The following is a 25,616-nucleotide window of genomic DNA, read 5'->3' as shown; positions in this document are numbered from 1 at the left end:
CCAGGATCACCTTGTACTCCATTTGTATACCTCTGTGACAGGGAGCTTACTCTCTGCCATGGCAGCCCCCTCCATCTTCAGACAACACTACTCTGGAAGGAAGTCCCAGCACCTCTTCTCAGGCCCTCACCATGAAATACAGGCCCATGACCCCATCCAGCCCAGCCTCCTGACCTTCAGAGTTTCCTCTTGCAGGCCATCCAGGGTGCACCTCCAAAGCAAGAAGTTTGTCCCTGCCCTGCTGCAGAGACCTCGCCGGCTCCCTAGTGCCTGAGGATGCAGCCTAAACCCTTCATCCTGGCATTTGAGGCTCTACCCTGGGTCTTTGGGACAAGAAGAACACTGTACTTTGGGGATATCCTAGCTTAGGAGACAGGCCTGAAACCCAGCCACCTGCCCACCACCTCAGGCCAGCAGGATGACAAAGATCTCTCAAGGGCAGATTTGGAGGCCTAGACTCATCCCTGGTCAGCGCTGGCCCCTGCTCAGGCTGGAGGAGCTTGGGGAAGCCCCTGTCTGTCTGAGGACCCTCAGCTGCCCCTCCACTGCCCCTCAATGCCCATAGCCACTGAGTGGGAGGTGGCTATGGAGAGAGCTCCCTTGGTCCTTCTGCTGGTCACTGCCAGATCTGTGGCTTAGGCTGGTGACGGTGCCAAGGTGCCCTGGCTAATGCTGCCTTGGGCCCTGTCTCCCCTGCCAGATTAAGATCTGGAGCATCCCCAAGCAGCTGCTGACCAGGAACCTCACGGCCTACAGGAAGGAACTCGTGGGCCACGCGCGCAGAGTAGGCCTGGTGGAGTGGCACCCCACGGCCGCCAACATCCTCTTCAGTGCTGGCTATGACTACAAGGTGAGTCTGGGTATTCTTTCTCTGGGGCAGCCCCAACAAGTTCCCACAAACTGGAATACAATGGAAATGTATTCTGTCACAGTTCTGGAGACCAGAAATCGAAAATCAAGGTGTTGGGAGAGCCAGCTCCCTCCAGATGCCCTAGGGAAGAATCCTTCCATGCCTCTCCCAGCTTCTGGTGGCTCCAGGCATCCTTGGCTATAGCTGCGTCACTCCAGGCTCTGTTTCTGTCTTCACACGGCCTTCTCTCTGTGTACCTGTCTTCCTTATAGGAAGAGGAGAGCAACTATCATTGGATTTAGGGCCCACCTAATCCATTATGATCTCATCTTAACTAATTTCAGCAGCGAAGACCCCATTTCCAAATAAGGTCACATTCTGAGGTTCCAGGTGGACATGAGTTTTGGGGGGAACCCTGTTCAACTCATTATAGCCTGCCCGGAGTGGATGGGATGGCACTGCCCAGAAAATCGTTCCCCCGACCCTGCTCCACTGACAATCAAGCATGCAGGCAGTAGGCCCTGTAGATTGGGACCCACAGTACAGGAGACCTCAATTCTATTCCGACTCAGTCTCTGACCTGCACTATAGCCTGGGAAAGTGCCTTGACTTCTCTAGGCCTCAGTTTCCCAATCTGTACACAAATGGAATTGGTGGCACCATAGCTATGGCCTTTCAGTTCTTTCCTTTTGACACTATAGGGGTTTACAGAGACACCTCGGGACCCTCTGTGTTGGATAAAAGGGAGGTGGGGGGCCGGACATGGTGGCTCACACCTGTAATCCCAACAGTTTGAGAGGCTGAGGTGGGAGGATCACTTGAGCCCAAGGATTTGAGACCAGCCAACATAGTGAGACCCCATCTCTACAAAAAAATAGAAAAAATTAGCCAGGTGTGGGAAAATGCGTCAAGTAGTCCCAGCTACTCAGGAGGCTGAGGTGGGAGGATCACTTGAGCCCAGGAGGTTGATGCTACAGTGAGCCATGATCATGCCACTGTACTGCAGCCTGGGCAATCCTGTCTCAAAAATAAATAACTAAAATTGTTGTGGGGAGCACTGAGGGAACCTGGGCCCTCGCTCTTCCGATCCACAGCGCTTTCTCATCTGTTTGTATGGGGTGTCTGCAGAGCTGCTGCGTGTATTTGTGCTGGTTGTTCTATACCCAACTTCAGGGGGCACTAGTCACGTCCTAGTCTATAGGAATGGATTGCCCTGGACCTCTGCATGCACAGCCTGTGCAGCTAAACATACAGCCCTGTTGATCTGTGGGAGGTGCAAACTGCTGCTAATAACTGAAACCGCCTGGATTAGCTGGTTCCCTGGGGTCCTCCCAGCATGGATGTTTTGTTGCTCAGAGGCAGGTGGCGTTTTCCTTTCACCACTAGACAGCCTGGCCCTGGGATTCCCCCTCCTGCCACAAGCAGCTTCAGCCTGCACATCATCCTCCCACTGAGGCTTCTTGGCCAGGCTGCCAGCTGCGCCACCCTCCCAGGGATACTGTGTTTCACTGCATCCTGGCCAGCATGTAACTATGAGGCCCAGGGGCAAGGTGGCCCCTGTGCTCAGAGCTGGCTCTCTGCCATGCAGGTGATGATCTGGAACCTGGATACAAAGGAGTCTGTCATCACAAGCCCCATGAGTACGATTAGCTGTCACCAAGATGTGATCCTCTCCATGTCCTTCAACACCAACGGCAGCCTGTTGGCCACCACCTGCAAAGACCGCAAGATTCGGGTTATTGACCCCCGAGCAGGGACCGTCCTCCAGGTCAGTTCTGGGCCAGGGGCTGGCTCAGGCTCAGAGGAGCAAGGAGCAGAGTGGGGACAGAGAGAGGCTTCAGAGAACAGGACAGTGATGCTGTCAGCGTCTGGGCTGCGCCTTCACAGGCAGCATCCCTGTCTGTCCTCTCGGGATTGCTGGAAGGTGGGATATGTCCTTTCCATTTTGCAGATGAGAAAACTGAGGCCCGTGAGAGATGAAATGACTCACCCCCATGGAGAGCTGGGATCTGAACCTGGTCTGACTCCAAAGCTTGTTGGCGTGCCTCAGCTCTGGCCAGGGGGTCAGGAGAGCCGACGATACCACTGTTTAGCCACTGTGCAGCCTTGGGCAAGCGCTTCCTGCTCTGAGCCTCTGTTTTCTCATTTGCAACAATGGGCTGTTAGTCCTTCCTCTCCAAGGATTAGATAAGACAGGCCAGGTGACAGTGCCCGCCCCTGTAGGGATGCCCAATACTCTTTCAGCAAGAACAGGGCGCTGGGCAGAAGTTTGTTTCTGTTCTTGCTCAGAAAAATAACTCTTAACAAAGATAGTGGGGAGAGACTCCATGTGGATGAGAGGGATCCAGGTGGTGCCCCTGGGAAGAATCTCCAGGCAGAGCTGGGGTGAGAAAGGGAGGCCTCCCAGGTGGAGCGGTGGCATAAGCAAAGCAGGGAGGCCAGAAACCCCAGCTGCCCCCGATCCTCTACTGTCTCTCCAATACCGACCGCACGTGTCCCTCCAGGAGGCCAGCTACAAAGGGCACCGGGCCAGCAAAGTGCTGTTTCTGGGGAACCTGAAGAAGCTGATGTCCACAGGCACATCCCGATGGAACAACCGGCAGGTGGCCTTGTGGGACCAGGTGAGGGCTGCACCCCACCCCTCACCATCACCCCTCAGCTGAGAGCCAGTGTCATTCATTCATGCATGCATTCATTTAGACACCCATTTATGACACACACATTTAGCGTAGACTGCCAGGTGCTGGGGATCCGGGGATGAATAGCAGGGAGATGCTGACAGCCCCGGGCGAGCCCAGACCCTGTGTATCTTGCCACCCAAGGAGGGAGATGGGTCAGGACCCAGGGGAGTCCGTTGGCTAGAGGAGGGGAGGTAGCTGAGTCTGGGACCAGGACTAGGAGGAAGGGAGAAGGAGAGGGCCATCTGGGCTGAGGGTGCACCTGGAGCAAATGAGGTACTAACGGGTATGGGGAGAAGGAGCTTTCATTGGGACAGCTGAGGGTGGAGCAGGGTAGGGTGAGGGCCAAGCTGGCGGTAGTATTTTGAGGGAGCATTTGACAGAGTTTCAAAGACTGGACAAATCACATTTTCTCTCTGAGTCTCCTTCTTCATCTATTAAAATAAATTTTAAAAAACAGGTAGGGGAAGATTGGAATGAGATCGGGTGTGTCAAAAGTGATTTGTTATGGCCAGGTATGGTGGTACACGCGTGTAATCCCAGCACTTCAGAAGGCCATGGCGGGAGGATCACTTGAGGCCACGAATTCGAGACCAGCCTGAGCTACACAGCAGGACCCCCATCTCTGCAAAAAATCAGCGGGGTGCAGTGGTGCATATCTATAATCCCAGCTATTTGGGAGACTGAGGCGAGAGGATCGCTTGAGCCCAAGAGTTTGAGACTGCAGTGAGCTATGATCGCACCACTGCACTCCAGCCTGGGTGACAGTTAGACCTTGTCTCAAAAAAAAAAAAAAAGTGATTTGTTAAGGGCAGAAAGCTGACAAAATAGGTGGCAGCAGCATTTTAGTGCCTTTAAGATGTCATCTCCACTAGAGAGTAGCCCACACATTGGAACTCAAGAACCAGGGACATCTTCCCCCCGCACACACATATAAAAAAATCACACTTTTTCTCTGACACACACACTCTCGCCCAGAGCACCATGGCAGCAATTCTTATCTCCGGGAGCACCACTGAGGGCCCCCAGGAGTGACCCAGGCCTTCCCTGCCTCCCCTTCCCCTGCAGGATAACCTCTCTGTGCCTCTGATGGAGGAGGACCTGGACGGCTCCTCGGGCGTGCTGTTTCCCTTCTATGACGCGGACACCAGCATGCTCTACGTGGTGGGGAAGGTCGGCTTGGCACGGGAGGGAGGTGACCTCCTGGACCCCTGAGACAGCGGCAGACAGCAGCCTGGGGCCATTGGGAACACAGGGCAGGGATGGGCAGGCCTCGCTGGCCACTCTTTCCCTGTGAGAAGGAACCCCTCCCACCCTCCTGGCTCCCTAGGAACACCTGGAGCCAGGGCTCTGGCTGGACACCTTGACCTTGTCTCTTCCCAACTCCAGGCCCAGATGTGGGGGGACCATTGGTGTTTCTCAGCAGGGGCACCTGCTAAACTGGGGGCAGAACAGGTCTCCACTGGGTAGGACTATCCCATGTCTGGCAGCCCTGGCCCCTGCCCACCAGTGCCAAGAACAGCATCTCTCCCCCTCCATCCAAGTCATTATGACAACCAGAAATGTTCCCCATGGTAAGACCTTCTGGATGACCTCTGAGGCCACCCCAGTTCTGACTTTTGCTGCTGCTCTCAGATAGGAGCGGGATTTGGACTTGTCTTCCCAGAGCTTCTGTCTTAGAGGAAAAAGGGTGGGCTTTGGGTCATGGTGGGGGAGGATTGAATATTAAAATAAGGGCCCAGGCCCAGCACAGTGGCTCATGCCTATAATTCCAGCACTTTGGGAGGCCAAGGTGGGAGAATCACTTGAGCCCAGGAGTTCAAGGCCAGCCTGGGCAGCATAGTGAGACCCCATGTCTACGAAAATGAAAAAATAAAAAATTAGCCAGGCGTGGTGGCACACACCTGTGGTCCCACCTACTCGGGAGGCTGAGGCGGGAAGATGGCTTGAGACCAGGAGGTTGCAATGAGCTGTGATTGCACTACTGCTCTCCAGCCTGGGCAATAAAGTGAGACCCTGTCTCAAAAAAATAAGATAAAATCTAAAATAAAATGAATATCCCCTCATCACCCTCCTGCCTTGATGACAGGGCCCCCAGTTTCCTGGTGTTCCCTTGAGTGAGATGGGTTTGCCGATCATCAAAAAAAGCCAGGTCTTTGCTGCATGGCTGGGTTGCTGATGAGCTGATGAGCTCCAGCTCTGAATCTCACCCTCCTCTTCCTTCTCCTCCTCCTCAGGGAGATGGCAACATCCGCTACTACGAGGTGAGCGCCGACAAGCCTCACCTGAGCTACCTGACTGAGTACCGCTCCTATAACCCACAGAAGGGGATCGGTAAGTGAGGGACACTGAAGTTCATGCCTGTAATCCCAGCACTTCGGGAGGCCGAGGTGGGAGAATCAGGGTCAGGGCTTCAGTGCGGGGTCTGGGGAGACAGGGATGAGTCAGATGGGAGGAGAGACAGCATAGCAACACTCTGACTTGGTGGGGGCTGTACTTGACGTGTGCAACAGCACAAAGGAGGAAGTCAGGGAAGGCTTCTCAGAGGAGGCAACATTGGAGGAACTGAAAGAGGAAGCAGAGCCCAGCAGGGGAGAGAGGGATGTGTTCTAGGTCAAGGTTAAGCAGTTACCACAAGAGCAGAGATGGAAAGGGCTGACCTAGAAGAGCCTCTAGGAAGCAGTCCTCAGTTCCTTTCTAAGTGTGCTTGAGGATTAAAAACACAGCTATATTTCTGTAATCTACAAGAAACCCACTTTAAACATAAAGACATGGCTAGATTAAAAGTAAGGGACTGGAGAAAGATGCACCCTGCTAACCCTACTCAAAAGGAATCTGGAGCGGTTTGATTAAGAGCATTTGGGTCACAGGAGCTGTGGGGATGGAGATGGGGAACCTTAAGCAGAGCAAACTGCCTATAAAAGTTCAGCTAATCCAGCACTTTGGGAGGCCAAAGCTGGAGGATCACTTGAGCCTAGGAATTCGAGCCTAGCCTGGGCAACAAAGTGAGACTCCTGTCTCTACAAATAAATAAAAAAATTGAGGTGCATACCTGTGGTCCCAGCTACTTGGGACGCTAAGGCAGGAGGATCGCTTGAGCCCAGGAGTGTGAGACTGCGGTGAGCTATGATTGTGCCACTGCACTCCAGCCTGGGCAACAGAGTGAGACCTTGTGTCAAAAAGAAAAAAATTCAGCTAAAATAATTTAAATCTTTGAAGGTGAAGAGTCTGATTAATTCAACTCCATTTCCCAACATAGGGCCCAGCCCAGTGTCGGTATTTGTCCCTGAGCTGTTTTCTGGGAGGAGACTGGTCTCTGTTCAGGTCCAGGTGTGCAGCCTGGCTTTGGCCCTAACACTGTGGCCCCAGCCTAGCCAGAACCTCTTGGCCCTCCCTGTCTGCCTTCAGGTGTCATGCCAAAGAGAGGACTCGACGTGTCCTCCTGCGAGATCTTCCGCTTCTACAAGCTGATCACAACCAAAAGCCTCATCGAGCCCATCTCCATGATTGTGCCCCGGCGGGTAAGGGCAGTCGGGACCGCATGGGAGGCAGGTGGGGAACCTGTCCTGGAGAAGACAGACCCAGGGCTGTCGGGCACCAGAGCCTGGAGCCCACGTTCATGGGGCAGCCACAGAGCGGCCTTTCTCACAGCCAGTGTGACATCAGTGGGCGTCAGGAGTCCTGGGTCTCGGTCCACCTCTGTTCTTGAGCTGCTGCGTGACCTCGGGCAAGTCCCTTTGTTCTCTGGGCCTCAGTTTCCTCAATTCAGCAGGGGTTGGTGAGAGCCTGGACTCCCAGGTCTAAGGGCCTTTCCCATCTGAGCAGCCTACCCTACCACCCTCCTCACTGTCTGGATTTCTCCTGCAGTCAGAATCCTACCAAGAGGACATATACCCTCCAACAGCAGGGGCCCAGCCCTCCCTGACGGCCCAGGAGTGGCTCAGCGGGATGAATCGAGGTGAGGAAGGCAGAGAAGAGGCCCAGGCAAATGTGACAGGAACATGGCGTGCCCAGTGGCCCCAAGCAATTGAGAGGGGTTGGGCCTGGATTTTTCTTCTCTCATGACCTCAGAAGCCATGCCCTTGACCTTCAGTCCCCAGTGGGTAGCATGGTCACATACAGGTCCAGAAAGTCAGGGGGCTTGACCCAAGAGCTCAGAAAACTCCAACTCAAGGGACTTTGCCCCACGGAAAGCTTCTTTACACTCTGGGGCTATGTGGGGTGCCTGGACCACCTCAGCCAGACTCCCTGTCCCTGTTCCCCACCCCTACCTCTGCAATTCTTTTTTTTTTTTTTTTTTTTTTTTTTTTGAGACAGAGTCTCGCTTTGTTGCCCAGGCTGGAGTGCAGTGGTACAATCTCAGCTCACTGCAACCTCCACCCCACCCCCAGGTTCAAGTGATTCTCATGCCTCAGCCTCCTGAGTAGCTGGGACTACAGGCACGTGCCACCATGCCCAGCTAATTTTTCGTATTTTTAGTAGAGATGGGGGTTTTGCCATGTTGGCCAGGCTGGTCTCAAACTCTTGACCTCAAGTGATCCACCTGCCTCGGCCTCCCGAAGTGCTGGGATTACAGGTGCGAGCCACTGGGCCTGGCCTTTTGCAATTCTTCTTGACCCAAGAAGCCCTCCAGGCAGCAACCCCCACCCAGGTCCCTCTGCCCACTCTGCCTGTCCTGAGCCACTCTCCCGCTCCTGCCAACACGGGGGCCAGCCCAGCAGAAGCAGTCACCCCAGCTGCTCCCTCTCCCTTCCACCCCCACAAACTTCCTTCACCCCCACCCCAGTGGCTGAGCGGGCCTCCTGGTGTACTGGAAGAGCCTCTGCCTTGGGGGGCAGCGGACCAGGGCCGAGTCCTAGTTTTGGATAACCTTAAGTAGGTTTTGCTCCCTGGGCCTCAGTTTCCTCATCTGTAGCCATGATGCCAGCCTCCCCTGCTTTCTGGAGGTGGTGAGAGAACTAATGAACTTGGTAGATGGTGGGGTGCAGTGTGGGTGGGACTGTCCTTACAAAGCAAGGGCAAGGTCTCATGTGAGTTTGAAGTGTTTGGGGGCTGCTTCAGTGCACGCACCGTGCTGTTCCTACAAACCAAGCTTCACTCTGAGGGTGGCACACGTGGGTATTTGTATCTGTTAGCCCTGCTCTGTGGGTTTGGGCCTGTCCACAGGTAGCTGTATTTCCCACACATGTTGCATGGGTCTGCATGGCTCTGAGTGTCTCTGCATGCCTGCCTGTGTCATTGGTGCCCCATATGCCCATCTTCCCGTGGGCACCCCGTCCTCACATGGCTCTGCTTCCCTTCCAGACCCAATCCTGGTGTCCCTTAGGCCTGGCTCTGAGCTGCTGAGACCCCACCCACTGCCTGCAGAGAGACCTATCTTCAATTCCATGGCCCCAGCCTCACCCCGGCTCTTGAATCAGACAGAAAAGCTGGCTGCAGAAGATGGCTGGAGGTCTTCCTCCCTGTTGGAGGAGAAGATGCCAAGGTGGGCAGCAGAACACAGGCTGGAGGAGAAGAAAACCTGGCTGACAAATGGCTTTGACGTTTTCGAATGCCCCCCACCAAAGACAGAGAATGAGGTGTGAAGGAGGACGGGGTGGGCCTTTCACATGGGGCAGCTGGGGTGGAGGGGAACAGATCCAGGCTGAGAAGAAGGGAGAAAATGAGGCATGAGAAGAATAACCAGCTGTGTGGCCTGGCCTAGTCACTTGACTCATTTTGTTAATTCATTCAACAAACAGGCAGTGAGCTCCATCTTATGCCAAAATGATGGGCATACATAAAGATGGTGGGAGGCTGGGCACAGTGGCTCACTCTTGTAATCCCAGCACTTTGGGAGGCCAAGGCGGGCAGATCATGAGGTCAGGAGTTCAAGACCAGCATGGCCAACATAGTGAAACCCCATCTCTACTAAAAATACAAAAATTAGCCGGGTGTGGTGGCGTACACCTGTAGTCCCAGCTACTTGAGAGGTTGAGGCAGGAGAATGGCTTGAAATTGGGAGGTGGAGGTTGCAGTGAGCCAAGATCACACCACTGCACTCCAGCCTGGGCAACAGAGCAAGACTCCATCTTAAAAAAAAAAAAAAAAAAAGATGGTGGGGACCAGGTGACCAGGTGCAGTGGCTCACACCTGTAATCCCAGCACTTTGGTAGGCCAAGGCGGGTGGATCTCTTGAGGCCAGAAGTTTGAGACCAGCCTGGCCAACATGGCGAAACCCCGTCTCTACTAAAAATACAAAAATTAGCTGGGTATGGTGGTGCGTGCCTGTAGTCCCAGCTACTCTGGAGGCTGAGGCAGGAGAATTGCTTGAACCCAGGAGGCAGAGGCTGCAGTGAGCCAGGATCACACCACTGCGCTCCAGCCTGGGCAACAGAGTGAGACTCTGTCTCAAAAAAAAAAAAAAAAAAAAAAAAAATGGTGGGAAACCATCTGTAAAATGGAGAGGGTTTGACCTAGTGGGTATCAAAGTCTTTCCAGTTCTGACATTATAGGACTTTCTGTGCTTTCAAAGTCCACATTTGTTTAGTGCCTACTGTGTGGCAGATCCTGGGGTAGGCACTTTGATACAGCACGTGATTGAATTCTCTCAACAGCCCTGGAAGTCAGTCTGTAGTGGCTAAGAACACAGAGGCTGGCATCTCACAGATGGATTCTGATCCTGGCTCTGCTGAGTACTAATTTAGGGTCTTAGACCCAGAGACTGAATGTCTCTAAGCTTCCGTTTCCACGGTGGTACGGTGGGGACACTAGCACTGCCACCCTTATAGGGGTGTCACAACGTTCCAGTGGGATAACGAGGCCCTTAGGGCATCACTCAATATCTAACACCCATTCTGCACAGAGGGCAGTTTTCTGACCCCATTTTCCAGAGGAAGGAATGGAAGCTCAGAGTGGGTAAGTAACTTGCCCAAGGTCACACAGTTCAGTGGTGGCGAAAACACCAATCCCCAGACTTCAGAGCCAGGCATCCTTTCCTCTATTTCATGGAGGATCTATGGAAGCAAAATACATCTGAAACATTCCAGTCTTCTTGAATTTCATTTATTGGGTGAAGTAAACAAGGTGTTTGTAAAAGATCTATGCAGTGACAGCCCCATCAGGCCTCAGCCATGTTAATGTGACCGCCTCCACCTTTCTGAGTCAAAGAGGGATAGTGGTTTAGCTTTCAGCTGGTGTCCTGACACCATGGTGATCCTGCCTTCCGATCTTTCTTCCCCAGTTGCTGCAGATGTTCTACCGGCAACAGGAGGAGATCCGAAGGCTCCGGGAGCTGTTGACCCAGCGAGAGGTCCAGGCCAAACAGTTGGAACTGGAGATCAAAAACTTGCGGATGGGCTCAGAGCAGCTCTGAGCAGAGACCTCTGCCCTCCTCACCCTCAGGGACACCACTCGGCTCCATGGGGAGGTTTAGAACCAAACCACAAGTCCCCTCAAGGACAACCACTATTTCTATATTTTTTACCAGAAAACAAAACTCTCCATCGCTGAAAGAGATTCCAGTGGGACATGGTGCCGTTTTTCTGTTTGCCTTCTTGCAACAACAGTTTCTGAATTGACTTTGTTTTCAGATGATGCCTTCTGTTGAATTCTGTTATTAAGGGCCCATGATGAGCTGTAACTTCTCAAGAGGAAAGAACACAGTAGAAAACTAGAGCTGGAAGGATCTAGGTTGACCTGTCTGTGATTTTCAAACTGTGGTCCAGAGAATAGGGGAAGACTGGGCCAGACGCAGTGGCTCATGCCTGTAATCCCAGCACTCTGGGAGGCTGAGGTGGGCGGATTGCTTGAGGTCGGGAGTTTGAAACCAGTCTCACCAGGCGCAGTGGCTCACGCCTGTAATTCCAGCATGTTGGGAGGCCGAGGCTGGTGGATCACGAGGTCAGCAGTTCGAGACCAGCCTGACCAACATGGTGAAACCCCATCTCTACTAAAAATACAAAAAAATTAGCTGGGCGTGGTGGCAGGCGCCTGTAATTCCAGCGACTTGGGAGGCTGAGGCAGGAGAATTGCTTGAAACCGGAAGGCGGGGGTTGCAGTGAGCTGAGATTGTGCCACTGCACTCTAACCTGGGCAATAAGAGCAAAAGTCTGTCTCAAAAAAAAAAAAAAAAGAAAGAAACCAGCCTGGCCAACATGGTGAAACCCCGTCTCTACTAAAAATACAAAAATTAGGCAGGGCGTGGTGGTTCACGCCTATAATCCCAGAACTTTGGGAGGCCAAGCTGGGCGGATCTTCTGAGGTCAGGAGTTCAAGACCAGCCTGGCCAACATGGTGAAACCCCGTCTCCACTAAAAATAAAAAATTAACCAGGCATGGTGGTGCATGCCTGTAATCCCAGCTATTTGGGAGGCTGAGGCAGGAGAATCGCTTGAGCCTGGGAGGCGGAGGTTGCAGTGAACCAAGATCATGCCACTTCACTCCAGCCTGGGTGACAGAGTGAGACTCCGTCTCAAAAAAAAAAAGTTGGCCAGCCGTGGTGGTGAGCGTCTGTAGTCCCTGCTATTCGGGAGGCTGAGATAGGAGAATTGCTTGAACCTGGGAGGTGGAGGTTGCTATGAGCCACGATTGCGGACTGCACTGCAGCCTGGGTGACAGAGCGAGACTCCATCTCCAAAAAAAAAAAAAAAAAGAGAGAGAGAATAGGGGAAGACTAAGCAGGAAGGCTGTGTCTCCCTTCCCCACACTGTATTCCAACCAGACAGCTCCCTTCTATTTTATATGTTGGGCTAGTATGAAAAACAATTCTGCTAGGAAAAAAAAATTTTTTTAGAAGTTTGAAAGCTAGTGATTTGACCCAAGTTCCTCATTTTACAGCTGGGGAAACTAAGGCCTAGAGAGAGGCAAGTGATATTTGTTTCATGGCAGGGCTGGGCTGAGATCCTGCTTTTCTGGGTCTGTCTTTTTGCTCTTTTGGGTCTGATGCAGTTCTCAGCCCAAAGAGTAGAAATCTGTTGCTTCTGGCCTCAGCTGTGCCCCAGCTTACTCAGTGACCTCTTGCAAGTCCTGCCCTCTCTGGTCTCAGTTTCTTCATCTGAACCAGGGGTACCCTGGAACAAGCTGCTCTCTGCAGGATCTGCCACCTGAAACCTTGACCTAAGAGAAAACTACCTGTGGGGTGATCTGGGTTTGCTACAGAAACTAACGGACACTGGCAAGGGGTCAGAGGCATTCAACCCAATTCTACAACACAGGCAGGTGGTCAAAACCAACCTTTCCAACCAGAATCAGCCTGATATGGATAGATGCTGTCCCTTATGGAGGGACGCAGACTTCAGAACTGTGCCCATGACTGCTGACTGCCACCACCAAGGCCCTCAGGTACACAGCCTGCCTCCTGCAGGATGATGTGGGCAGATTTCAGCCCTAGTTAACAGAAGAGTCCCCCAGGAGGTAGGGGGCCCCCATCACTGGAGACATGCCAGCAGAGCCTCTGGCCACCTAACCAGGAGGTCTTCTGAAATGACTATACGAGGTAAAGAAGTAGTACCAGATGGTCCCAAAGTTCCCTTTTAGCCTGAAAGCTTTTCTTTGTCCCTCCTTAGTGAATCTGTGTTCCGAGCCCTACTCTAAAGTTCAGTGGTCAATACAATAGTCCACCAAGAGACTGGGAATGATTAGAAGTGAAATTGGTCCCTCCTTACCAAGGAGGGGCAGATGATCTCCATTGCACAGGGCGATTAGATTCTGGAGCTGAGGTGGGGACTGCAGGAGGCCACCTAGTCTGGTAGGTTTCAACCCAAGCTGTGTACATTAGAATTCCCTTGGGAGCGTGCAGGAAATACAGATGCCCATGCCACATTCCAGACCAACTGAAGCTGAATCTCCAGAGTAGGGCCTGTATGGTCATATAAGCTCCACAGGTGATCTGCAGTACAGTGAAGATGGAAGACTGCATGTGTACCTATTTGCAATAAAGATGAAGAGGACAGCAAGCTCCAGACAGGAGCTGGGACTCAACCCAGATCTCTTAAGTCCTGCCTGGTGGCTCCTTAAAAGTCCAGAAGTGTTGCCCCAAGCCCTCCCTCAACATCTCTGGGAACCGCAGCTGCAGCACGATGGGGGTTCAGTGCCCCTGTTTGCCCCTTACCCAGCTGTGGTTTATTCTGCTTGTATGTCTGCACAGGCCGGATGCTCGTGTTCCTTGTCTTATTCTCCATTTACTCAGTCACTGGGGCTCACTCCCGTCTGATGCACTAGCCAAGATTGCCTTAGTGTGCTCCAGAAAAGAAGGCCAAATCCCAGGCATTGTCAGGGCAGCAGAGCTCTACAGGATAGGCTTACCTTTCCCACCTGTGTGGCTAGCACTTCACAGTTTACAAATTCCTCCCACCTCCACTCAGTGACACATGCTGTTCTAACACAGGTCAGGCAGGCATTACAGTCCCCATGTTCAGAATCAAAGACCTAGCCTCAGAGAAGTGAAGAAACATCATGCCAAGGTCATTGACTGCCAAGCGGTAGAGGTGGGGTTGCATCCAGAGAGCTTCCCGGTATGCCTCTGCACAATGCCATTCCTTGGCCAGCTCCCTCCACCCCAAGGGACCCAGACTGCACACTTAACAAACAGGACACAGGTGTCTTTGAACAAACTTTTTTGTATTATTATTTTTACATCTAGAATAAATTATTTAAATTATTTCACAGCAAGGGAGAGGGATAGGTAATTTTTATCAGATATTTTTTTAAACCATCTGTTTTTTAAATTACATTTTTGTTTATGTTCTTGAGCTGATGTAGTGGAACTTGCCTAGCACATTCAGGTCCCAGCCAGTTGGCAGAGCATGCTCTCATCTCCTTATTCCATACCCTGGGCGTCCCCTTTCTGTTGACTCAGGAACTTTCTGAGAATGAGGACAGCACTAGGAGATGAGCTTTGGCAGGTATCCACCTTAACGCTACAATAATTGTGCTTCCTGAAACAAAACTTGAGATTGTATCATAGAAGGAAACAGGAAGTCAGAAATCAAATCTATGCTTTTAATTGAAACCGTGCCTGAAACAGTTTGAATGATTGTTTTAATGTTGTTTCTGAAATTCCTTGTACCTTTGTGAAAAATAATGATAATAAATAAAAGTGAAAATAAATAGATGTGGAATATGCAATGGAAATAATGTAACAAAATAATAAACATCTGGCCATTTTACTACAAGGAGCTTTCCTTTTCTTGATTTGTTCCACAAATACCAATTAACTATCTACTCTTGGAGTCAGACACCAAGCTGGAAAACAGGCAGAACAGACAGTCTTTGCCCTCTCCAGTTTTCAGTCATGGCTGCGGGAATGGGGAGGGCCAGGATAGGGAAAGCATAGGCTGTTCTGGAAGGAGAAGGAGGGAAGGCTTCCTGGAGGAAAAGATAGTAAGGTAGAAACCTGCAGAGTAAGTTGGAATACTCAGGGCAAAGGGCATTTGGGAAGAAGAATGTTCCAAGCAGGGTAAACTGCACGTCCCCCAGTCTTGAAAAAGCACAGGGTGGAGCATAGGCAGGGCGGAGACCAAGGATCTTAAGAAAGAGCTGAGGGCTTTATAAGTGGAAGTCTAGACTTGAGCCTGGGGGGGCAACTGGAATTTGGGGTGGTGGTGTGTGTGTGAAAGTTGTCAGTACCAAAACAGAGTCACTTACATCAAAACCAAACTAAATGGTGCTCCTGTAGTCCCAGCTACTCCAGAGATGAGGTGGGAAGATCACTTGAGCCCAGGAGTTAGAGGCTGCAGTGAGCTATGATCGCACTATTGCACTCCAGCCTGGGCAACAGAGCGAGATCCTGTCTCAAACAAACTAAATGGTGCTGGGAGGCCATGAAGTGGGGGGCCCTCATCAACGATTTGCCTGGTAACAGGAACTATTATTGCAAAAGATTCCACCAAACTGCAACCTTGCACAAAGAACCACAACCTTGCACAAAAGCCATGATATGAGGACATCTGCCCAGCAACTGCCTGTTCAACTTTTGGACTGAAGCCACCTGTATTAATTCTTGTAACCAAGTATTATTATTTTAAAACGATCTGGCCGGGCGCGGTGGATCACGCCTGTAATCCCAGCACTTTGGGAGGCCGAGGCGGGCAGATCACGGGGTCAGGAGATCGAGACCATCCTGGCTAAAACAGTGAAACCCCTTTTCTACTAAAAATACAAAAAATTAGCCGGGCGTGGTGGCGGGCGCCTGTAGTTCCAGCTACTCGGGAGGCTGAAGCAGGAGAATGGCGTGAACCCGGGAGGCGGAGCTTGCAGTGAGCAGAGATGGCGCCACTGCACTCCAGCCTGGGCGACAGACCGAGACTCCGTCTCCAAAAAAAAAAAAAAAAAAAAAAAACAAAAACAAACAAACAAACAAAAAAAACAGTATATGCAATCCTCCTCGTTTTGCCTTTAAAAGCCTCTGCTTTCCTTTGCCTCCCTGAGTACTCCGCGTCCCCACCCCTTGGGTGCCATGGCACATTTATTCCCGAATTGCAATCCTTCTGCTCAGTCCGAAATAAACTCAATTGGAGAATCTCTGTGTCCTTATTTGAGGTTGATGAAGGTATCTTACAGTTGTGGGAATGATTATCTTTCCGGGGAAAAGGGCAAGAGAGGATCAAGGGAAAGTGAGAGGAGCACCCCCGGAAGGTCACAGCCAACTTTGGTCCCATCATCAGGGCTGCAGTTTTCTGGGCGTTACTGGAACAGCGTCATTAAGCAGGAAGCCCACCCTCTCCTAGCTGGCTCATTAGGAGCTTCCCATTTCTGGTGGGACCACCTCCCGGCCTGGGCGGGCAGAGGGAGCACCCTGCTGGTCGGAGGATGCTCCGAGGCCCGACGCTGCTCCCGGCGGGCTGTCATCCTCCTAGGGGTCGGCCGGCCGGCCTGGAGCCGCCCCGCCCACGGCCGAGGTTTCGGTTTCCCTTGGGAGCCCCGCCCTGTGTCCCGGGGAGCCGGAGGAGGTGGAGATGAATGGCGGGCGCGGCGACCGGGAGCCGGACCCCTGGGAGGTCGGAGCTTGTCGAGGGATGCGGCTGGCGCTGCCCGGAGCATGGCGACCGCGTGGCTGAGCTCTTCTGTCGCCGCTGCCGCCGCTGCGTGTGCGCGCTTTGCCCGGTGCTGGGCGCGCACCGTGGCCACCCTGTGGGCCTGGCGCTGGAGGCAGCGGTGCACGTGCAGGTGGGGACGATGGGGACGGGGTTCGCCGCGCGGGAGTTGGGGGAGCCAGCCCAGGCATAACGGCCGAGGAGGGGGCGTGCCTGGCCGTGGCCAGTGGCGGGTTACAACCTGGAAACCAAAGGTGCCCCAGAGGGCGTCTAAGCGGTCGACCGAAAGTTCAGAGCGGGAGCCTGAGACCCAAGGAAGGGCAAAGGCGAGCCAAAGCCATCAGTTGAGCTTCAGAAAAGGTGGGTTTAGGAGTGAGAGGTTGGGAGCCCAGGCTGGTACCCAGATGTCCTTGACCGTGTCCACCATGGCCGATCCGCCACACTGCCATTGGGCTGGAAGACAGTCTGCCTTTTAGTTAACAGAGGTACAAACTCTCCCTCTTAATAAACAGCCCTGTGTAGCTCAGAAAGCCACACAGACATCTCAGGTTTACTTAATCTGCAGTCCACAGAAAGGGCCTGTGAACTTTGAGCTGAGGACGGCCTGACTGCCCTGGGAGCAGCCTCAGCTGTCACTACCTACCTCCTCTCCCCTCCCCGGCCACACAGACACTCCCATTCCTGCTCATAGCAGCCCTGGGTGAGCCATTATTATTACAGCCATTTTATAGGCCACAAGAGGAAGGCTCTGGAGGCAGGGGCAGGCCTTGAACCCAGGACTCCATTAGCCAGATGCCCCCAACAGGGCCATTGTCACCGTGGAACCCTTACCCATGCATAATCCTAACAGTGCCCCAGGGGCTCTGGGCTCCTGCTCCAGCTTCCCAGCTGACTTTTTCTGTGGCTTCTCTCAAATCCTTCTCTCTCTCTGGGTTTCATGAAGCCTGGGTGAGGTAGGCCCTCATGTCTGACAGCTGTTGATCCTACCACTTGTCTCCAAGAAGTCTTCTGTGATGAATTCAGCCCCATCGTGAGCCTTTCTCCGGTACTGCATGACTCCAGACCACCACACTGTGACAACCTTGGAACTCCAAGGTGAAAAGGGGATCATGGGGGACAATCCAGTGGAGTCGTGGGCTCAAGACCTGTCCCTGCCACCAGACCCTTCCTTTTTTTAACGTATGAAATGGCTGTAATTATAATAATGGCTCCTTGAAAAACTGTTATTCAGAATTAACAAGGCTGCTTTCCACAGATCTGGCTCAAGAGTCTCACCCATCCATTTGTCCATCCCCCTACCCACTACCTACTGTCAACTTGAAGTAATAAGATTCAGAAAATATGATTAAGTACAGAGTTTATCCAAGCCTAAAGCTTGAGGATGGCCAACTGGGACCATAGATTCAAATTTCTGTGACTATCCACTCTGATTAGCAGCAGTTACATATAAGTTTTTAAGGAAAAAAGAAGAAGCAGTTCCTAAATTGTTTACCAAGAATTTACATTAAAATGACATAAGCAGTCGGGCACAGTGGCTCATGCCTGTAATCCCAGCACTTTGGGAGGCTGAGGCAGGAGGATCACATGAGGCCAAGGGTTTGAGGCCTGGCCAACATGGGGAAACCCCGTCTCTATTAAAAAATATGAAAATCAGCCAGGTGTGGTGGTACACATCTGTAATCCCAGCTACTCAGGAGGCTGAGGCATGAGAATCGCTTGAACCTGGGAGATGGAGGTTGCAATGAGCCGAGATCACGCCACCGCACTCCAGCCTGGATGACAGAGTGAGACTTTGTCTTAAATAAATAAATAAATAAATAAATAAATAAATAAATAAAACAGAGAATCTCTATGGCAGAACAACACCAAACCTATTCCACTGGGGAGTCAACTAAAAACATCACGAAGAAAATCCCAAGCCTTCTTTAAAAGCCAGGAATTGGCTTCTAAAACTTTTTCTACAACCTTCCTTGTTGTAGCCAGGAAATAATTCAGGATTTAGTCCAAATTGCAGGAAAATAAAAACTAAAAAACAATGGCCAGGGCTGGAATCTAATAACAGGAATAACAGGTGTGCATAACAGGTGTGCTAAGATTTTCTTCTGAAACATAATTTTTCTCTCTCTAGTTCCCTGTTTTTACCAAAAATGAGTCTTGATAGGACAAATTTACTTGCAAAGTAAGTTTTAATATTACACTTGGCCTGATAATTTGCATTATTGGAACTTTCATAAGGAATTTTGGATTTGACTTTTTTTTTTTTTTTTTTGAGACACAGGGTCTCACTCTGTCACCCAGACTAGAGTGCAATGGCATGATCGTGGCTCACTGCAACCTCCACCTCCCAGGGTCAAGCAATCCTCCTACCTTGGCCTCCCAAGTAGCTGGGACTATAGGTATGCACCACCACACCTGGCTAATTTTTTTTTTGTATTTTTTTTGTAGAGACGGGGTTTCACCATGTTGTCCAGGCTGGTCTAGAATTCCTGGGCTCAAGTGATCCTCTTGCCTCAGCCTTCCAAAGTGCTGGGATTATAGGCGTGAAACACCACGCCTGGCCTGGATTTGACTTTTAAAAGCCTTACAGCTAAAAAGCCAAACCAAGGATTCACCATCAGACTATGCCTGTGATACCCATACACATTGGGTGAATTATTCTCTTCTCAAGGTCCCAAAATATCTTGAGGTTCCTAGACCTGTCGGAAAGTGACATTCTTTTCTTACCACAAGGTCGGGAACCTTGTAAGGGAACTGTGTAGACAAGGACCAAGCTAGTCCAGTCTTTCCAAGGATTTTTTTTTTTTTTTTTTTTTGAGACAGGGTCTCACTCTGTTGCCCAGGCTGGAGTGTGGTGGTGCAATTTTGGCTCACTGCAGCCTCCACCTCCCAGGTTCAAGTGATTCTCCCACTTCAGCTTCCTGAGTAGCTGGAACTACAGGTGTGCACCACCACTCCTGGCTAATTTTTGTATTTGTTGGTAGAGATGTGGCTTCACCATGTTGGCCAGGGTGGTCTTGAAAACTCCGACCTCAAGTGAACTGCCCACCTCAGTGTCCCAAAGTGCTGGGCCCCCTTTTATTGTATTTTATTTTATTCTTGTTAACATTTTTTAATAGAGGCGGGGTCTCACTATGTTGCCCAGGCTGGTTTCAAACTCCTGGACTCAAGTGATCCACCTACCTCAGCCTCCCAAAGTGCTGGGATTACAGACCTGAGCCACCAAGCCTGGCCCCCAAGGGTCTTCTTATGGGCTCTGTAAACTTGACTTCAGTTCCTGAAAGCAGTCTGATCATATATGAAGATATATCATTTCAGTCAAAGCCTTGGTAAAATTACCAGTGTCTCCAATGTGGTCTGTTATGAAAGAAAACATACTCTTATTGAACTTATGCAAATAACTATATTGTCATAAAATAAGAATACTCACAAATAGCCAGGTGCGGTGGCTCACGCCTGTAAACCCAGCACTTTGGGAGGCTGTGGTGGGCGGATCAGTTGAGGTCAGGAGTTGGAGATCAGCCTGGCCAACATGGTGAAACCCCATCTTTACTAAAAATACAAAAATTGTGCTGGGCTCAGTGGCTCACGCCTGTAATCCTAGCACTTTGGGAGGCCAAAGTGGGTGGATCACGAGGTCAGAAGTTCGAGACCAGTATGACCAACATGGTGAAACCTATCTCTACTAAGAATGCAAAAATTAGCTGGGCATGGTGGTGGGCACCTGTAATCCCAGCTACTCGGGAGGCTGAGGCAGGAGAACTGCTTGAACCCCACGAGGCAGAGGTTGCAGTGAGCCAAGATTGTGCCACTGCACTCCAGCCTGGGCAACAGAGAAAGACTCCACCTCAGAAAGAAAAATTAGCCAAGCGTGGTGGCATGTACCTGTAGTCCCAGCTACTCAGGAGGCTGAGGCAGGAAAATCGCTTGAACCTAGGAGGCAGAGGTTGCAGTGAGCCGAGATCATGCCACTGCACTCCAGCCTGGGTGACAGAGCAAGACTCTGTCTAAAAAAAAAAAATTAATTTAAAAATGAAAATAAAAAAAGTAAACACAAATAGTTTGCAAATTTTGGTGAAATCAGGTAGAGAGAAAGACAAATGTTTCAATTTTGCTCACAAAAGTATCTTTTATCCAGTTGCTGTGACAAAAGAAAAAATTTTCTTGACTGAAAAACAATATAAAAAGAATCAGCAATGTTTCAAATTTTAAAAATCATAAAAATCACTTTTATCCTCTATCAGTTTAGTCCCATGTAAATAATTCTTGCTCTGCTTGATGTTGGGTTAGCAGTCTTCATGAATGCCTCAGGTTTTTATTAGAGTTCTGGAAGCTTTTGCTTAATCCAATGGTAAGATCTCTGAAGTTACCAGAAACCTGTATTCAAGAGTACTTGTCAGGGTTTTTTTCCAAAAATTTCCTTAAAGATGAAGCAAATTTTGTAGCTGATTATAAACGACTTTTTTTAAAAGAATCAAAGTAAAATAAAAATTGTCGGCTGGGTGCGGTGGCTCACGCCTGTAATCCCAGCACTTTGGGAGGCTGAGGCGGGCCGATCACGAGGTCAGGAGATCGAGACCATGGTGAAACCCTGTCTCTACTAAAAATACAAAAAAATTAGCCAGGCGTGGTGGCGGGCACCTGTAGTCCCAGCTACTTGGGAGGCTGAGGCAGGAGAATGGCATGAACCCGGGAGGTGGAGCTTGCAGTGAGCCGAGATTACGCCACTGCACTCCAGCCTGGGCGACAGAATGAGACTCTGTCTCAAAAAAAAAACAAATTGTCTGTGGATGATAAAAGGCTTAGAATAGCCACGGTCAAAGATGAAATTGACTAGGATATGTGGTTATTTGTGTGGCACACACCAGTTTATCATAATAATTATGATAATGATATACTGATAACATATACCAAGACATATCAGACTTTTAGGAATCTCATACAATTTTGGAACACATTAATAATACGCTTTTATAAATATAACTCAAAGAAAGTTAAACATCATTTCTTATTTGACAATATTTCCCATATGACTTTGACATCCCAAATAAGCCTAATGTGTCTCTTTTGGACTTCCAGGGGTCCTGGTTATGCCCAAGTTAGCTTGGGTCAAAAAGACTTAATTTAATTTTGGGAAGTATCTCAAATATTAAAGGTTTAAAACACTTGATATAGAAATAAGAAAGGTTTAAAACACATGATCAAAATAGAATCACAGGTCACTACAAAATAATGGTAATTACTTTAGCCAAAATGATTATTCAAAGATTTCAAAAAGCAAAAACCACTCTGATAGAGGAGATTCAGTTCTCAATCAAGAGACCTAATAAAGACAGCATGGGACAAACTCTCCCCAGTTACCTTTTCTTTGCCATTTATGCAAAAGTAAATACATCTTTTACCGTCTCTTATTAATTCTACATTACATTTTTATTCAAAGGAGAAAAACAAGTTTTACTTTTAGGCCAGGCACAGTGGCTCATGCCTGTAATCCTAGCCCTTTGGGAGGCCAAGGCAGGCAGATCACTTGAGCTCAGGAGTTCAAAACCAGCCTGAGCAACATGGTGAAACCCTGTCTCTACAAAAGATACAAAAATTAGCTGCGTGTGGTGGTGTGTGCCTATAGTCCCAGCTACTTGGGGGGCTGAGGCAGGAGGATTGCTTGAGCCTGGGAGGTCAAGGCTGCAGTGAGCCAAGATTGCACCACTGAACTTCATCTTGGGTGACAAAGTGAGACCCTGTCTCAAAAAAAGAAAAAAATTACTTAGGTGTTAGTATATTATCTATCATCCAATTTCAGTCAGCTTTGACTACACAAGATAAGATAATCGATAATCTCTCACCATTTTCTATTAAAGAGCAGATCAATGCTCTGATAAAACCTGGTTGTTCCAACACAGGAGCCCAGACTCTGGCCTTACATGAGTGTGCTTTTGATATTAATACTTAAGTTTTAGAAAAACTTATAAAAAATTCCTTCTTTTTTTTTTTTTTTTTTTTTTTTGAGATGGAGTTTCGCTCTTGTTGCCCAGGCTGGAGTGCAGTGGCATGAACTGCCTCACTGCAACCTCCACCTCCCAGGTACAAGCAATTTTCCTGCCTTAGCCTCCCGAGTAGCTAGGACTACAGGTGCACAACACCATGCCCAGTTAATTTTTATATTTTTAGTAGAGACGGGGTTTCACCATGTTAGCCAGGCTGGTCTCAAATTCCTGACCTCAGGTGATCCACCTGTCTCGGCCTCCTAAAGTGGTGGGATTACAGCCATGAACCACCGCGCCTGGCCATTTCCTTCTGATTTTTTTTTTTTTTTTTTTTTTGAGATTGAGTCTTGCTCTGTCACTCAGGCTGGAGTGCAATGGCGCAATCTCTGCTCACTGCAACCTCCACCTCCCAGATTCAAGTGATCTCCTGCCTCAGCCTCCTGAGTAGCTGTGATTACAGGCGTGCACCACCACACCTGGCTAATTTTTGTATTTTTAGTAGAGACGGGGTTTCTCCATGTTGGTCAGGCTGGTCTCAAACTCCTGACTTCGTGATCTGCCTGCCTCGGCCTCCCAAAGTTCTGGGATTACAGGCAGGAGCCACCACACCCTGCCATTTCCTTCTCATTTTAACCAATTTGATCACATACAAAATGTCTTTTGTGAGATTAATCTTCCACAGACCTTCTAGAATTTGCTTAAATCTTCAGTTTTGTCCTATACTTCCTTTTTATTTTGGCATTCTACCTTAGGACAAAAATTTACTTCCCTTTTCCCATTATCATTTTGACTACACAAAGTTCTCTCTCATGCAAAAGAAAAATTACTCTCTTTCAACAGTCTTTACCAAAAACACATCTGACTTTATACACTCTGTAAATAGAACTGTTTCTTTTATATCAAGTAGTTTTAATCACATATGTTAACTACAATTTTCACTCTTAGTAACCCAAATTTCCAGTGAAAAACCTAGGAAGTAAGTAATTTTTAGCTGTTTTCTACCAGCATTTGTAGATGAAAATAATTTCATAATTTCTAGAAAGATGGCTCCTCAATTTTTTTTTGTTAACAGATCGAAATATATTTAGCTTTTCTATACCATATAAATGATTCAGACGTTTTATAATGACCTATTACTTCATTTAACATAACATGATATTAAGTTACTGAAAACAATTTTTGTTTGTTTGTTTTTGAGACGGAGTTTCACTCTTGTTGCCCTGGTTGGAGTGCAATGGTGTGATCTTGGCTCACTGCAACCTCTGCCTCCTGGGTTCAAGTGATTCTCCTGCCTCAGCCTCCCGAGTAGCTGGGATTACAGGCATGCGCCACCATGCCTGGCTAATTTTGTATTTGTAGTAGAGACGGGGTTTCTCCACGTTGGTCAGGCTGTCTCGAACCCCTGACCTCAGGTTATCTGCCTGCCTTGGCCTCCCAAAGTGCTGGGATTACAGGCGTTAGCCACCGTGTCCAGCCTGAAAACAACTTTTAAAACTATGAAATGTTCATTTATAAACTTTGATCTCATTTACATTTATTTAATTTTTTCATTCTTAACAATTTTGCCTGAATAGTTCATTAAACAAAGCTAGCCACCATCAATTTATTTCTTTGCTAATCATTTCTATAGCCTGTGAATGTCATCCTCCCAAGCAGCTGGAACTTGAGGCATTCTCCACCATGCCCAGCCAGGTTTTTTGTTTTGTTTTGTTTGTTGTTTTTTGGTAAAAATGGGGTCTAGCTATGTTGCTCAGGCTGGTCTCAAACTCCTGGCCTTAAGTGATCCTCCCACCTCAGCCTCCTGAGTAGCTGGGATTACAGGTGCAAGCCACCATGCTCAGCTCTTGAATTTCATTACGTAAGGTTGACACTATGAATATTCATTTTGCATCCACATACCCACTTTCCTATCCATTCACCCATTATTCATTCATCCATCCATCATTCACCAAACATCTATTCAGCATATATTTTGGGCCATGAGTCAAAGAACAGATCAGATCCTTCCCTGACCTGGAAGAGTTCTCTGGCTGGTTGGGAAAGAAGCTAGCAGCACCTGATAATTGTTTTTTTTTGGGGGGGGGGACAGGGTCTCACTCTGTTGCCCAGGCTGGAGTGCAGTGGCATAGTGGCATGATCATGGCTCACTGCAACCTCCTGGGCTTAGGTGACCCGCCCCTGACCTCAGCCTCCCAAGTAGTTAGGACTACAGGTGCATGCCACCATGCCCAGCTAATTTTATTTTATTTTATTTTATTTTATTTTATTTTATTTTATTTTATTTTTTGTGGTAGAGGCAGAGTCTCACTATGTTGCCCAGGCTGGTCTCGAACTCCTTGGGCTCAAGTGATCCTCCTACCTCAGCCTCCCAAAGTGTTGGGATTACAGACATGAGCCACCATGCCTGACCAGCCCCTGATAATTCTGTTCAATTCAGCAAACACTTCTGGTCACACCCTGCTCCCTGTGGGGAGTGAGAACGAAGCGAGCCTGCCCTCAAGAAGCTCCTAGTCAATGGGGCAGCCAGATCTGGGCCCAGCAGCTGAGTGTAAGGCCAGCTGTAAGAAAGGCTAAGATGGAGACGAGATCACACCCTTGGGGAAGGAGAGTGCAGAGCAGACTTTGGGGAAAAAAGCAATTTCAAAAAGCAGAGATATGGAAGGTGGGAAGAGCAGGAAGCATGAACCCCACTGACCTCTCACGTAGTCCAGGGCCAGAGGGTCACAGACTCCCTGGAATGTATGTTTCATGAGGGCAGCACCTGGAACAGGGCCCAGCACATAATAGGTGCTCAGTTAATACTCCATAAGTAGATGTTCTTTCCCAGACCCCAAGCTGTTTGCCTTAAAGTCCCACTTGAAAGGCTGGAAAAGCAAGTCACAGGCAAGACTTGTCCTAGATAAAGTAAAGTGTGAGGAAGGGGTGCAAATCAAGATTAGAGGCATACCTGATGTGGACCTCCGAGGATCAGAGATGTCCTAGTCCCAGCTCATCCACCAACTTGCCATATGACTTTGGGCAAGTTACCTCACCTTCAGATGCCTCCATTGGAAAAGAATACAAGGGTAAGAGGAGGTGACCCCTGTGGGGGGCC

The 25,616-nt window shown here is 49.5% G+C and overlaps 2 protein-coding genes across 14 annotated transcripts in view, besides 2 other annotated features; both read left to right on the top strand.

Moving 5' to 3' along the window:
* The window catches only part of CORO2A (coronin 2A), a 71,663-nt gene extending 56,982 nt beyond the window's left edge, over window positions 1-14,681 (top strand). For all 3 annotated transcript variants that reach the window (NM_052820.4, XM_011518986.4, NM_003389.3), the window contains exons 4-12: window positions 701-850; window positions 2,439-2,618; window positions 3,355-3,471; window positions 4,597-4,701; window positions 5,766-5,862; window positions 6,937-7,049; window positions 7,396-7,486; window positions 8,833-9,107; window positions 10,751-14,681. In NM_052820.4, the coding sequence (NP_438171.1) occupies window positions 701-850; window positions 2,439-2,618; window positions 3,355-3,471; window positions 4,597-4,701; window positions 5,766-5,862; window positions 6,937-7,049; window positions 7,396-7,486; window positions 8,833-9,107; window positions 10,751-10,882 (1,260 nt within the window). In that variant the 3' untranslated portion in view covers window positions 10,883-14,681. The remainder of the gene's footprint in view (window positions 1-700; window positions 851-2,438; window positions 2,619-3,354; window positions 3,472-4,596; window positions 4,702-5,765; window positions 5,863-6,936; window positions 7,050-7,395; window positions 7,487-8,832; window positions 9,108-10,750) is intronic.
* Window positions 16,434-25,616, top strand: part of TRIM14 (tripartite motif containing 14) — an 83,426-nt gene continuing 74,243 nt past the window's right edge. For 8 of the 11 annotated variants that reach the window (XR_929880.4, XM_047424162.1, XM_047424161.1 and 5 more), the window contains exon 1: window positions 16,434-16,674. Coding sequence is in view for 9 of the 11 variants with exons in the window: in XM_047424162.1 (XP_047280118.1) it covers window positions 16,468-16,674 (207 nt within the window). In the remaining 2 variants the exon portion in view is untranslated. Of the gene's footprint in view, window positions 16,675-16,702; window positions 16,902-23,958; window positions 25,588-25,616 lie in introns of those variants that run through there. The other 3 variants (XM_047424164.1, XM_011519244.3, XM_047424163.1) reach the window with 3 other exon arrangements.
* Window positions 16,501-16,600: a silencer, noted in NCBI's record as "silent region_20115". NCBI's record gives its function as "represses an Ori minimal core promoter by ATAC-STARR-seq in GM12878 lymphoblastoid cells {active_cell/tissue: GM12878}" and the evidence as "EXISTENCE:reporter gene assay evidence [ECO:0000049][PMID:35858748]".
* Window positions 16,911-16,960: an enhancer, noted in NCBI's record as "active region_28691". NCBI's record gives its function as "activates an Ori minimal core promoter by ATAC-STARR-seq in GM12878 lymphoblastoid cells {active_cell/tissue: GM12878}" and the evidence as "EXISTENCE:reporter gene assay evidence [ECO:0000049][PMID:35858748]".

The sequence above is a fragment of the Homo sapiens genome, chromosome 9 (genome assembly GCF_000001405.40).
Source record: "Homo sapiens chromosome 9, GRCh38.p14 Primary Assembly".
Classification (NCBI taxonomy): domain Eukaryota; kingdom Metazoa; phylum Chordata; class Mammalia; order Primates; family Hominidae; genus Homo; species Homo sapiens.
Note: the sequence above shows the minus strand (reverse complement) of the source record. Positions and strands in the feature narration are given on the sequence as shown.